The sequence below is a fragment of the Homo sapiens genome, chromosome 2 (genome assembly GCF_000001405.40).
Source record: "Homo sapiens chromosome 2, GRCh38.p14 Primary Assembly".
Classification (NCBI taxonomy): Eukaryota; Metazoa; Chordata; class Mammalia; order Primates; family Hominidae; genus Homo; species Homo sapiens.
Window position 1 is genome coordinate 227,160,856 of NC_000002.12, and position 13,557 is coordinate 227,174,412.

At 41.9% G+C, this 13,557-nt stretch overlaps 2 protein-coding genes across 36 annotated transcripts in view, besides 5 other annotated features; one reads left to right on the forward strand and one right to left on the reverse strand.

The window, feature by feature from the left end:
* The window catches only part of COL4A4 (collagen type IV alpha 4 chain), a 197,129-nt gene extending 193,496 nt beyond the window's left edge, over positions 1–3,633 (reverse strand). For 26 of the 28 annotated variants that reach the window (XR_922837.3, XR_001738602.2, XR_007069255.1 and 23 more), the window contains exon 1: positions 3,152–3,350. The gene's annotated coding sequence lies outside the window, so the exon portion shown is untranslated. Of the gene's footprint in view, positions 1–3,151; positions 3,351–3,540 lie in introns of those variants that run through there. The other 2 variants (XM_047443228.1, XM_005246281.4) reach the window with 2 other exon arrangements.
* Positions 2,677–3,578: an enhancer, noted in NCBI's record as "H3K4me1 hESC enhancer chr2:228028248-228029149 (GRCh37/hg19 assembly coordinates)". NCBI's record gives its function as "activates a minimal SCP1, AML or CMV promoter by ChIP-STARR-seq in naive H9 embryonic stem cells {active_cell/tissue: H9 hESC(naive)}" and the evidence as "EXISTENCE:reporter gene assay evidence [ECO:0000049][PMID:30033119]".
* Positions 2,677–3,602: a biological region, named in NCBI's record as "H3K4me1 hESC enhancer GRCh37_chr2:228028248-228029149".
* Positions 2,853–2,952: an enhancer, noted in NCBI's record as "active region_17197". NCBI's record gives its function as "activates an Ori minimal core promoter by ATAC-STARR-seq in GM12878 lymphoblastoid cells {active_cell/tissue: GM12878}" and the evidence as "EXISTENCE:reporter gene assay evidence [ECO:0000049][PMID:35858748]".
* Positions 3,223–3,602: a silencer, noted in NCBI's record as "silent region_12396". NCBI's record gives its function as "represses an Ori minimal core promoter by ATAC-STARR-seq in GM12878 lymphoblastoid cells {active_cell/tissue: GM12878}" and the evidence as "EXISTENCE:reporter gene assay evidence [ECO:0000049][PMID:35858748]".
* The window catches only part of COL4A3 (collagen type IV alpha 3 chain), a 150,169-nt gene continuing 140,380 nt past the window's right edge, over positions 3,769–13,557 (forward strand). For all 8 annotated transcript variants that reach the window (XR_001738601.2, NM_000091.5, XM_005246277.4 and 5 more), the window contains exon 1: positions 3,769–3,958. Coding sequence is in view for 7 of the 8 variants with exons in the window: in NM_000091.5 (NP_000082.2) it covers positions 3,872–3,958 (87 nt within the window). In the remaining variant the exon portion in view is untranslated. The remainder of the gene's footprint in view (positions 3,959–13,557) is intronic.
* Positions 3,823–4,002: a silencer, noted in NCBI's record as "silent region_12397". NCBI's record gives its function as "represses an Ori minimal core promoter by ATAC-STARR-seq in GM12878 lymphoblastoid cells {active_cell/tissue: GM12878}" and the evidence as "EXISTENCE:reporter gene assay evidence [ECO:0000049][PMID:35858748]".

Below are 13,557 nucleotides of genomic sequence, written 5' to 3' on the forward strand. Positions count from 1 at the left end.
GAAATGATATGAGTTGGTAATCACTCAGATTCTAAAAGCACCCAAGAGCCTAATTGTTTCAGAGGTATGGAAAAGAGAAAGTTCTTAAAAGGAAAAGGATGGCTAAGAGGGGAGATGAAATGAAACAAGATTAATGAAGCAGCTGTGGGCAGCATAAGAGGTGTATCTTGTATCTCATTAAAAGTAGAGGCTCGTCCCTCTACAATGAAGGCTAGAGGTAGATCATGAACTTAGGAAGAAACCAGACTAAGTGTGAATGCTGGGTGAATTTGACAAGTCATTCAACTTCATTTGTGCTTTCATTAATTCATTCAGGAAACAGTAACAGCCTCACTCATTCATTCAACATCAGTAAAGAACACAAAAATGGCCCCTGCCCTAATGGGGCTTACATTGAAATGTAGTGAAGCAGACACAACTATTTAAACAGTGTGTAGAAAACGGACATGATACTGTGAAAACAAATTACATAGGACTTGTCAAAGACAATAACCACTCATTTTGTTTAAAACTCCTACATGGCATCAAAGTAAAAAAATAGAGACCTCTGTGTCCTTTGAATGTACGAAAAGAACCATCCTCCTTTCCTCTTGCTGTTTTACATTTAAAGAACCAACTGTGAAAAATCAACTCTCTTGACCCAAAGACAATTTTTTTAACAATCAAGCCTTCCAGTTAATTAACACCACCTGTTTGTTTGACAGGTGAGCCTGTCAAACATTGTTCTAAATGTGGCAGGTGGGGAATAGGTGGTTAAATGTGGCTTTTAGATAAGCAACTTCTCAGAGTTTTAAGTACCAGGTGCATACGAATCACCTGGAGATCTTGGTGAATGTGGGATCTGATTCAGTGGATCCAGAGTGAGACCAGAGACTCTACATTTCCAGCAAGCTCCCAGGGAGGCCAATGCTGCTGGTCCCAAGGGATGCCAAGGCAAGGTTCTAGAGGCCTTGGAAGTGTATTAACCTCAAGGGAGTTCATAGGCTATGCTTGCCTCCAGCCATTTTAGTACTGAGCTCAGAAGAGCATCTCTACCACGTGCCACCATTTCTCATCAGGGCCACCTATTTTCCTTTGTACAAAAAAAAAAAAAGAATCAAATTTCACTATGTGACTACTGTGTGAAGATTCTGCACAAAGGGTTTTTGCTATCTCATTAGATTCCAACAACTCCCTGAGGTGGGTATGGTGAGTATGTCTATTTTATAGAAGGAAGACTCCAGCCCAGAGAGGTTAGGTCACACTAGTAAGTATGGAAAGGATTCAAAACTCCAGAGTCTACTCCAGAGGTCAAGCTCTCCAGCATTGCCTCTTTCTTGCTGTATTTACATCACAAGTTTCTTTCCAGCTCTGTATCTGCAACAGAAATGACTTGCAGTTGACTATTACTTCCTGTTCCAAAATTGATAAAACCAAGTCTAGTCCTCCAACAAAATGACTTGGTTTCAGGAAAAGGCAATTAAAATTCAAATTGAGGAATCTTCTGGAATTTGGCAAAGAGAAGCATTTAACATTAGCATTGAGATTTTTTTGTTTGTACTTTTTAAAATTAAATACTGTCAGTTTGTGAAACATAATCATGTGACTCTCAGAACTCTTGGACACTGTCACCTCATCAACAGAACACCTACCGTTTCATTCCACAAGAGTGGCAGAAGTTTCCAGAAGAACCTTCCCTACCAATGGAAAGAAGCTACTGCATACCACACAGCAACATCTGCGATATGGTCATAAATTCCGCAGTGTTCCCAAGTTGTAATGAAGAGTTTAATATATGTGCTTTTTATTATTCTACTAAGAATATATCCTAATTCAACATGTGCGTGAAATTTTCACATGTTCGTGAAAACAGGAGCTCTCATACTTGATTGTGCATGGGAATGTACAGGAAATTTTAAAACAGCTAGAGAGTCTGATAAAATTGGCTTGGAATGGTCTGGGTAGCAACATTGTTTTATCCTCCCAAAGATTCTAATGCACAACGATAGTTGAGAATCACTGGCATAAAAGACAGAAAGAAGACTGTAAGATTCATGCTATAGTCAAAATAAAAAGAATGGGAGGAGTGTCTTCATTCACTGTTAGGGTTTTGCCTACCTGCATGGCTACAAAGTTCTAAGATACCAATAGATCCCAAATTTAACTGCAAGCAAGTGGTTCCCTAAAATCAGTGACCAACTGCATGATCATACTTGGTGTCTGAAGCCAATTGCAGCAAATATCAGCAACACTGTTCCAAAGCAAAGATTCTTAACCTGAGGATGGAATTCAGGTGATCTGTATAGGAAACTCACATAGGAAAATAAGTTGCATCTTTACTTTTAGTAACATGTCACAGAAGTTCAACATGTCCTTCCCTTATGAGCACAGGCAACAGAGCACAGTAGTATTGGCAGTTCTTGATAATTTGCACCCACCGGTATTTTCATGTCACATTTCAGTTTGGGCTATTATCTCAAAATACCATTTGCAGACATCACTACTTTGACATTACTGTTGCTTAATCGGCCTGCTGTTAAATCAAGCTATTTAATGCAATAATGATGATGCACCTGTGTTAGTTACTATATCACGACTTGAGGACTTCCATAATTGCATTCCAATAAAACTGATTCTGATTTAATTGTATTTTATGCATTTCACAACATTCTTCTGAGAAACAGTCTAATTGCTTTACCAGAGCCAGTGTGGTCCGTAGCACAGGAAACGGCGAGAGCCGGCTGGAGGACCGTGCCCTGGCACATTTGCATCGCAGGCCACCCCCAGGAAGAGCGCACCCTGACCAGAGCTGAGTCTTGTTTTGCCCTGCATTTCCGCAGATAAGATTTGGCCTGAAAAGCAGTTCAACTCAGCGGAGAATAAGATGGGCTTTCTCTTTCTCCTCAGCTGCCTCTTTCTCTTGGCATTTTGGAGTGCCCCGACTGCCAGGCCGGTAACTCGAGCCTCCAAATTAATCAAAACACACAGCACCCAGTTAAAGCCCAGGCAGACAAGCCCAGGAGCCAGACGCGCTCTCCTCTGGTGACCCCCGGGCCACAACTCCCCAGCTGGGCCCGCCACCACCCCTTGAATGCCACGCTCCCTCCACTGCCCCTCCCAGGCAGGTGCCGGGGCCCCGGGACAGCGGTTGCCCCACCTATGGGCGCCTTACCTGTGGGGACGCCCGCAGCGCCAGGAGCTGCCGCCTTGCCACCCCACGGGACGCGCACCTCCAGCCCCAATCCACCCGCGCCCCGCTGCCTCTTCGCGGCGCTCTCGCAGCCAAGCCCGGCGGCCGCAAGTTGGAGGCGGGCTGGAGGCGGGGAACGCGGACCGCCGCGGGCGCGGGGAACAAGCGGGGCCTCCCGAGTGCAGACGCCCGGCGCGCCTCCCGCTTAATCTGGGCAGGGCCGCTGGCCACTCCCTCCACCCTGCGCAGCCACCTCCCCACCGCGCAGCCACCTCCCCACCGCACACCCCCAAACGCCCCACCTCCGACCGCACCCCACTTCCCCGCCTGGGCCCCCGGACCTTGGGAGCATCACCTCCTTAACCCCTTACCCTGGATCCGCGCCCACCTGCCCCTCAGGCGCCCAGCCCTTTCTCGCCTCCTGGGCACGATGCCCGGGTAGAAGGGACACTGCCTGGTAAGTTGGGAGGGAGGGGGTATGAGGGCGGGACCTGAGCCACGTCTTCCCTCCCTTGAAGCCACAACCAAAAAGCCTGGGTGGGGAGGGACGAACCGCGCGACCGAGCCCTACAAAACCCGCCCCGGCCGAGTGGCGAGGCGAGCTTTCCAGCCGGGCTCCCAGAGCCGCGCTGCGCAGGAGACGCGGTGGCCTGAGAGCCTGAGGGTCCCCGGACTCGCCCAGGCTCTGAGCGCGCGCCCACCATGAGCGCCCGGACCGCCCCCAGGCCGCAGGTGCTCCTGCTGCCGCTCCTGCTGGTGCTCCTGGCGGCGGCGCCCGCAGCCAGCAAGGTGAGTGGGGGCTGCGCGACCCCCACCCCCGCACTTCCATCCCTCCTCCACGCGTCCGGGGGACGCGCTGGCCCCACCCGCAGCGGCGCGGTAGTGGAGCGGCTGCCGGGCTAGTGGCGAGGCTGAGGGCTTCACGCAGGTCCCGGGACAGGCAGCGAGCGGAAGGGAGCAAGCGGGGATGCCCCGGAACAGGTGGAATGCGCGGGGCTGGGGGAAGAGGCGAGGAGGGGGCTTGTCCAGTGCCTAGGAGTCAGGGATGGCGGGGACAGGCCTCCAGAGGTCAGTAAATTAAAAAATAGACACATAGATAATCGCCAGGGATGATACGTGAGAACACCGGATGTGGAGATGCACGGTGTCACGCTGGTGAATCAAATCAAGCAGCTTGGCCCAGCGCACAGAGGGCTGGCAGGAGACACCTGCAGGGAGTCCCAGCCGCCACTTCCTAGCTGGGACGTCACACTAAACCCTGACCTCTCTGGGGCTCAGTTTCTTCCTTGCAAAACTTGCCCTCCAGTTTTCCTTTGCTATTGTTGGGAAAAGCAAATGCTATCACTGAAAAATTAAGAGCACCTTAGAAATCGAACTCAGGTTAGAATCATTTAAGCAATCTGACACTTTGATTTGATTTTTGACTTGGAATTTGAGTGAAACTGGATTTATTTAAATCCATCCCATATTTCTTATTCTTTGCCATTAAATAGAAATTGATTGTCCTCAAAACGATTGTGCCTCCTAGAGTTGACTCACTTGATTTTACCTTGTGAAAGTAAACTTTAACTTTTCAGATACTTGTTATTTTTACACTTTAAAAAGTTGATTTGGGTGATAACGTGGCATAGGAAATTTCATTTCCAAGGATGAGCAGATGTTTTTACAAATGTTATCATTGAGATTATGATTGGAAATTAACGGTCACATAAATATTTATATATGTTACATGAAAAGAATTTTAGAACCTATGGTCACATATAGGTTCTATATGTTTTTCCTATTTAAATTAAATGAAGACATTGCAGACATTATAGGTGAAACTAAAGCCCTCTCTGACACCCCCCATACCTCTCCCCATTTCCTTGTCTTCCAAGAGGTGTCCACTTTCACCACTTTCATATTTCATGTAGTTTTCCAAACATTGTCCATGAATTTACACACACACATATGAACCCACAAACATATATGTATGTTTTTGTTGGCCTTTTAACATAAATGATACTGTGCTGTATTCCTTTGCAACCTGTAGACCAGTCCATGTCAGTATTTAAGATCCTCCTGTTTTTCTTTTTGCTTTGTTGCACAGTATTTCACAATATGCCAAAGTTAATTGAACCATTTCCCTATCAGTTTACATTTAGATTATTCACTGTTTCACATTCTAAAGGACATTTGTAATCTATGTAATCTGTTTGTGTAGCTGGTTCTAACAAAAATGCACTTTGCATACATTAGGAATTCCCAGACCAGGTATTTAAATGCTACTAGGCATGATAGATAAAACTCAGTGGGGATTATCTACCAGCTTTAACCAGGACAAATAAATCCAAAAAAGCAAAATCCTAAAGGAAATGTGTGTTGTGGGGAAGCCTGGAGAAGAGATCCAGAGCAGGGTTTGCACATGTTTCTGAATTTAGAAGAACAGGAATGAGATTGGGAAGGGGTGGAAGAATTGTACTTATGTGAGGATCAGCCTGAAAAAGTAATGCTTGGGGACCATGCAAACTCTAGTTATACCATTTTCAATTCTGTTGTTACATTCCTTTGTTATTTTTACATGTAAACTTTTCTGTTTTGAGTTTGGCCAAATCTTGGTGACTTCTTGCTGAAATTAATCCATTTGTATTGTTTTTCTCATCACTTGAAGTAAGTCTTTCATTAACAAGTTTTCAGGATTATCATTTCCAGTGTACCTGCTGGGTTAGAGAGAAAATATGCCAGTAAAATAATGAAATGTGCCTTCATCTTGTAGAAAAAGGAATCACAACGTTCACTGATAATCGGGCAATGTGCACCAACATGGCTCCCTTCACAGAGAAACTCTGCTGTTGGGCAAGGCTGTTGACCACTCTGAGCCTCAGTTTTCTCATGTGTAAAATGAGAGTTGAAACCCCAGTGGGGCCAGCAGGTGAAGTAAGGAGTAAGGCAATGGGGTAAGAGAGACTCTTCAGAACCTAGTTGTTAGCATGCTAGAATTCAAGCCCAATTGTGCCAGCATCACTTCAAGAGAGAAGTTGGGAATCCAGTTTTTATTAGAAACTTCTCAAATTCTAAATATTAGCAACTAAGCCAAAACTTTACAAAAACATAGTGTGGGCCAAACAATGTATAAGTGAGAGCTAAATGTAACTTTGGAGCCATTATATTTTATTATTTTTGTTCTACTCCAGTTAAGGATGTGTTTCGCTCCAATTTATTCAGTTTTACTTTAGCATTTCTCAAAACAGGGAAATAGCAGCGGTGTTGACTCTACATGCTAAGTTTGTTTAGACGGGGTGGAACTGTCCACCCACACAATTTGGACTGATGTGCCGAGAATTAAATACCTCTGCTACTTTGCACAGGCATCCAGTTCCAGGCTGGCTGCCCAGCGCATCCCCAGGTTTTATAGCTGTCAGGGCCCAGCTCACCCACTTGAAATAGGGCGGCACCTTGTTGTTGTCTCAGGCAATAGACCTGGGAGTGGAGGTATAGAAAGCCCCTTCTTTGATTTCTGGATAAGGTGATGTTCACACATTAAGATATCATGGTTTATCCTTCTTCTTGCCTTAGCATTCCAGACAGGGCAGCAATATGAGAAGCAAATGTCAAAACGTGAAAAACACCTACATTTGGGGAGGATGCCTTCTCACCGGGCTTCATTTTCAAATTTAAGCACTTTCAGTTAAATTAGAAAACAAAAAGTAATGGAACAGACACCAACTTATCTATCCCTGAGATTAAGCAAGTATTAATATACTTTGACTTGTTTGTTCTCAGATTTCTACCTTTAGGAAAAAAAAAATCTGAATACAGAAAGTCATACACACATTCTTTACTCCCTCTTCCATCCCAAAAAGTTTATGTATGTAATTTCCCTGCACAGTTTTGTGTGTGTGTGTCTGTTCTCCGTAAAAAATAAGTATTATTGTTTTGTGGTCTTTCATATGTGATAAATAGTTTCACATTACACGTATCTATTGGAGCTTGCTTTTTATCACTCCATATTATGTTTTTGGATTTTATCCATGTTGGTACATATAGATATGATGTATTTGTAGTAATAGCTGCTGCATAGTATCTAGTTATATAAAGTATGATTCATTTTTCCATCTCCCTAAACAAAGTAAGCTTGTCTTTATATTTTCATTTTATAAAGTTGCAATGCATATTTTGGTATATGCACCACTGTGACAACTAGAATTTGAATTCCTAAGTGGTTCGTAGAGAAAACAAATTTAAATATATTAGGAATTGACAAGTTCATCTGCAAAAGGGTTGTACCAACAATGTACCAGAGTGCCTGTTTCCCTATGTCTTTGGCAAAGCTTGGTGTGCTTAGATGTTAATGGTGTGAAATGAGATCTTGTTTTGACCAGTGAGTTTGTAAACTTTTTTCTTTTTTAATTGGCCCTTTATATTTCCTTCAGTGTGAACTGCATAGTGCAACTTTCTGTCTGTTTATCTATTGTGAACTTTGCCTTTTTGTTGCTAATTAATTAGAAGTTATTTATATATTTGGATACAAAACTTTTGTCATTAAAGTGTATAGCAAATATTTTATTCCAATCTTTGGTTTATCTTTGAGTTATTGGTGCCTTAATGTATAATACTGTTTTCACTATAATCTCAAACTGATTTTGTTTTGACATTTTGTCTTTTGTACCTTGTCAAAATTTTTTTTTCCTTTCCTGGGATTATAGGAATGTTCTCCTACATTTAAAAAAAGTTTCATAGTTTAGCTCTTTTACAGTTAGATCTCTTAATCCTGTAATTATTTTCTGAATTATGAGATCTACTTTTATCTTTTTCCATGTAGATGACAAATCGTCCCAACATTTTCAATCAAATAGTATATTCTTTCCTTCTTTTTTTTCTTTTTTTTATTTTATTATTATTATACTTTAAGTTTTAGGGTACATGTGCACAATGTGCAGGTTAGTTACATATGTATACATGTGCCATGCTGGTGTGCTGCACCCATTAACTCGTCATTTAGCATTAGGTATATCTCCTAAAGCTATCCCTCCCGCCTCCCCCCACCCCACAACAGTCCCCAGAGTGTGATGTTCCCCTTCCTGTGTCCATGTGTTCTCATTGTTCAGTTCCCACCTATGAGTGAGAATATGCGGTGTTTGGTTTTTTGTTCTTGCGATAGTTTACTGAGAATGATGATTTCCAGTTTCATCCATGTCCCTACAAAGGACATGAACTCGTCATTTTTTATGGCTGCATAGTATTCCATGGTGTATATGTGCCACATTTTCTTAATCCAGTCTATCGTTGTTGGATATTTGGGTTGGTTCCAAGTCTTTGCTATTGTGAATAGTGCCGCAATAAACATACGTGTGCATGTGTCTTTATAGCAGCATGATTCATAATCCTTTGGGTATATACCCAGTAATGGGATGGCTGGGTCAAATGGTATTTCTAGTTCTAGATCCCTGAGGAATCGCCACACTGACTTCCACAATGGTTGAACTAGTTTACAGTCCCACCAACAGTGTAAAAGTGTTCCTATTTCTCCACATCCTCTCCAGCACCTGTTGTTTCCTGACTTTTTAATGATTGCCATTCTAACTGGTGAGAGATGGTATCTCATTGTGGTTTTGATTCGCATTTCTATGATAGCCAGTGATGGTGAGCATTTTTTCATGTGTTTTTTGGCTGCAAAAATGTCTTCTTTTGAGAAGTGTCTGTTCATGTCCTTTGCCCACTTTTTGATGGGGTTGTTTGTTTTTTTCTTATAAATTTGTTTGAGTTCATTGTAGATTCTAATGTTTTGCAGTGTTATAGCTGCAAACGTGTATACCATTCATATGTGGATCTATTTGTAAACTCTCTATTCCATTGGTCCAATATTTTTTTGTCCCTCCACCAATACCACACTGTTTTGATCACTATGTTTATATTAAATCTATGTCTGGTAGGACAAGTAGAAGATAGAACAGTTATCCCTATTATTATTATTCTTTAAATTTATGACAGGTATTCTTTCCTCTTTGCTCTTCTGGTTGAATTTTAGCATCTGCATGTCAAAGGTCCATCAAAGATTTCTGTGGGATGTTAATTGGTATTGCACTGAACATATAGGTAGGTTAACTGCTTGTTGTTGAAGTATAAACACATGGATGGTACACAGAAATGCTACTGATTTTTAATTTTTGATGTTGGGTCAAGCAATATTATTGAATTTTCTTATTTAACAGTTTGTAGATACTCTTAGATTTTTTTATGTAACTAGTCACATTGTCAGTGAATAGTTTTTCTTCCTTTCTAATCTTTATGCCTTTTTTCCCTTGTATTACTGTGCTGACCAGCTGTATTAATCTGTTTTCCTGCTACTGATAATGACATACCCAAGACTCGATAATTTATGAAGAAAAAGAGGTTTAATGGACTCACAGTTCTACGTGGCTGGGGAGGCCTCACAATCATGGCAAAAGAGCAAGGGACATCTTACATGGTGGCAGGCAAGAGGGAAAGAGACCCAAATGAAAGGGGAAACCCCTTATAAAACATCAGATCTCATGAGCCTTATTCAGTACCACAAGAAACCACCCCCATGATTCAACTATCTCCCACCGAGTCCCTCCCACAACACATAGGAATTATGGGAGCTACAATTCAAGATGAGATTTGGGTGGGGACACAGCCAAACCATATCACCAGCACTTCAGGGCAATGCTAAATAAAAGCAGTAATAGTATGTATTTTTGTCTCATTACTGAAGTTAAAGGAAATATTTTAACATTTTATTAAGTATGATTTTTTCTGTAGAGTTTTAATAATTGTCCTCATCAGTTTAGGGAGTTTCACTCCCTAATATTACTGTCATTGTTCTACTTAATGACTGGATGTTAATGTTATCATTTATTTAGTCTGTATCTATTTTAAGAAAATCATACATTCTTTAGTCAGTCACGGTAGCAAATTAATTTATTTTTAAACTATTTAACCATCCTTGTATTGCTGTGGGATAAAGTCTAGTTAAAATGGCTCTTCTTAAAACATATACTATTATTAAATGTGGCACTAATATGGAAAAGTGAATTAACAAATGTAGCATTTAATGGCTTATTAGCTGAATACCCACATAAAGACCATTCGGGTCAAGGAACAGCACACTGCTAGCACCCAGAAGTCACCCTTGCATCTGTCTCAGCCACAATCCCCTTTCTTTTCCCTGAAAGAAACTAGAATCTGACTTCTAATAATCATTTCCTTGCTTTTTAAAATGGATTTATCATCTAAATACTTATTCCAAGTGCTGTATTTTGGTTCTGCCTGTTCTGAACTTTATGTATGTAGATTCACACGCTTTGAGATAGTGTATGTAAATTCCTAGTGCCATGCTCAGGGTATAAATGTAGCTAACACAGGAGTGGGCACCTGTGAGAGTCCACCTAAGACATATACACTGTGGCCATATGTTTGCTGACACCTCTAAACAGGAAAGTTGAGGTGTTAAATAACTGACGTGTATGATGGAACAAAATCCACATGTGCGTTGTTTTCTGGAATGAAGCTGTTGGCGTCTGTCTTAGTCTGCTTGGGCTGCCATCACAAAATACCATAGACTGAGTGGCTTAAACAGGCACTTACTTCTCACAGTTCTGGAGGCTGGAAAGTCCAAGATCAGGGTGCCAAATTGTTCCTGGTGGTGAATCCGTGTGGGTCTGCAGAAACCTCAGTTCTTGCCTCCTCTGAAGAAAGAATTCAACTGAGGGGCAGAAGGCTGAAGGAGAGACCAAGGCAAGTTTTAGAGCAGGAGTGAAATTTTATGAGAAAGCTTTAGAGCAGGAATGAAAGGAAGGAAAGTACACTTGGAAGAGGGCCAAGCGGGCAACTTGAAAGGCAAGTGCCTCGTTTCACCTTTAACTTAGGGTTTTTATACGTTGGCATACTTCTGGGGTCTAGGGTCCCTTCTCTCCTGATTCTTCCCTTGGGGTGGGCTGTCCGCATGCGCAGTGGCCTGCCGGCGCTTGAGAGGGGAGCATGCGCAGTGTGTTCACTGGAGTTGTATACGTGTTCACTTGAGACATTCTTCCTTTACACTTGGAATGTCCCTGGAAGGTCATATACCAGTTAAACTCCGCCATTTTGCCTCTTAATGTGCATGCTTGAGCCCACTCTCCCAACTCCTGAGATCTTATCGGGAAGATGCTGCTCACCACCTTCAGGTGTTTTCATTTCTTGGGAGACTGCCTTTCCCTGGCACTGGCTGCAACCAATTATTACTTTACAAAGACTGTTCAATAACCGCCTGACCATCATATGATAGTGGCCTGACATTCCTGATGAGGCGGGGGCCCTCTCCTGCCCTGCTCATGCCTGACTAGCTACCTACAGTAACAAAATGTCTGGGTGCTGGTAAGGGCCCTCTTTCTGGCTTGCAGACTGCTGACCTCTCATTATATCCTCACAAGGTAGTTCGGCGGGGGTGGTTGGGGAGAAAGACAGAGAGAGAGCTACTGCTCTGGTTTCTTCTTCTCCTTCTCCTTCTTCTTCGTCTTTGTCATCTTCTTTCTCTTCCTCTTCTTCTTCATCATCTTCTTCTTTCTTCGTCTTCTTCTTTTTTTTTTTTTTTTTTTTTTTTAGATGGAGTCTTGCTCTGTTGCCCAGGCTAAAGTGCAGTGGCACTATCTTGGTTCACTGCAACCTCTGCCTCCTGGATTCAAGCAATTCTCCTGCCTCACCCTTTCCAGTAGCTGGGACTTCAGGCATAGGCCACCACACCCGGCTAATTTTTGTATTTTTAGTAGAGATGGGGTTTCACCATGTTGGCCAGGCTGATCTCAGACTCCTGACCTCAAGTGATCCACCTGCCTCTGCCTCCCAAAGGGCTGGGATTACAGGCGTGAGGCACAGTGCCTGGCCCGGTTTCTTCTGATAAGGGCACAGATCCCATCATGAAGACCCCACCCTCGTGACCTCATCTAAACCTAATTACCTTCAGAGGCCCCACTTCCAAAGACCATTACCCTATGCTTACAGCTTCAACCTAGGAATTTAGAGGGACAGAAACTTTCAGTCCGTAACATTCTGCCCCTGGTCTCAAGATGTATTACAAACATAAAGAAGGCCTTAAAACTCTTTAACTGAAAAAATGAGTTAGAGCAAAGCTACTAAATGAAGCAAAGGAAGCTCGGTGGGTAAACTTAACCTGTGACAATCACAGTTTAAAATGTTAGTTTTAATATCATTTCTATAATAAAAATTCTCAGTGTTAGACATCAGTGGGAATTAGGAACTATTAATAAAAACCTTTTGATACAACAGAAAACTCTTTGCTCTTCCTAGCATAAAGGATTAGACAGAAGCTTCACTTTATGGTGACGAAATAAGTACAAATCTGGTAAGAAAGCACCTTACTCCAGGTTCCACGTTGATCTCCCAAAATGTAAGTCCCTGGCTCTGCTTTTCTCAAAGTAGCCATGTCAGCCTTTCCATTCTTCCAGGTGTTCCTCATGTAAATGCTAATTAGGGCCTCCGATTTCAGGTCCATTTCCTAACCGAGACTAAATTAAATTCTATTACTGCGATAGTTTTCAACATCACACACCTACAAAACTTCGGGTAAACATCTGTTTCCATGCTATACAATAGAAATATAATGTGAGCCATGACTACAAGCCTCATATGTCATTTTAAATTTAATATCTTCTAGTAGCCACATTAAAAAATAGAGATGGATGAAACTAATTTTAATATGTTTTATTTATACCAATACATCTGTAATATTATCATTTTAATATGTAATCACTATTGAAAACATTAATGAGATATTTTACAGACTTTTTTTCCTATTAAGTCTTCAAGGTCTGGTGTGTATTTTGTACTTGCTTCCAGAACATCTCAATTCAAATGAGCCACATTTTCAAGCATCTATAGCCATATGTAGCCACTGTCCTGGACAGCATATGTCTATGTAAGTGGCATCCAGAGGAGAGTAGGTGATACAATCCATCATGTCATTCTGTGGAGAGAATAGATTTTGTCTGGTTATTTACCATAAGAAATAAATACTTGTCTAAATGAAACACTTTAATTGAAGGCAAAAAATCAGGCTGAGTTGTGCATAAATATCTGTGCATCTTTACCTCCAGAAAATTAAGATAGTTGGCCTTGGCTGCAATGTTTAAATCTATACAAATTAGCATTGTAATTTGACAAGCATTGTAATTTTCTAAGTTATGTACAGGAAAAATTGAAAACACATCACAAAACGGAAAATAATTGGAAAAAGGAATGGGGCAAGGGAAATATATTGAAAACCAACACACCACACCTTGCCTTTCATTTTAAACTAGAAATCAAATTATCACTAGCATCCAGACAGGTAAGAGGTTTAGTATTACATTGGCCAAGTAAATTCCAAAAAGGTCTCTCTTTTTCTTGTCTGA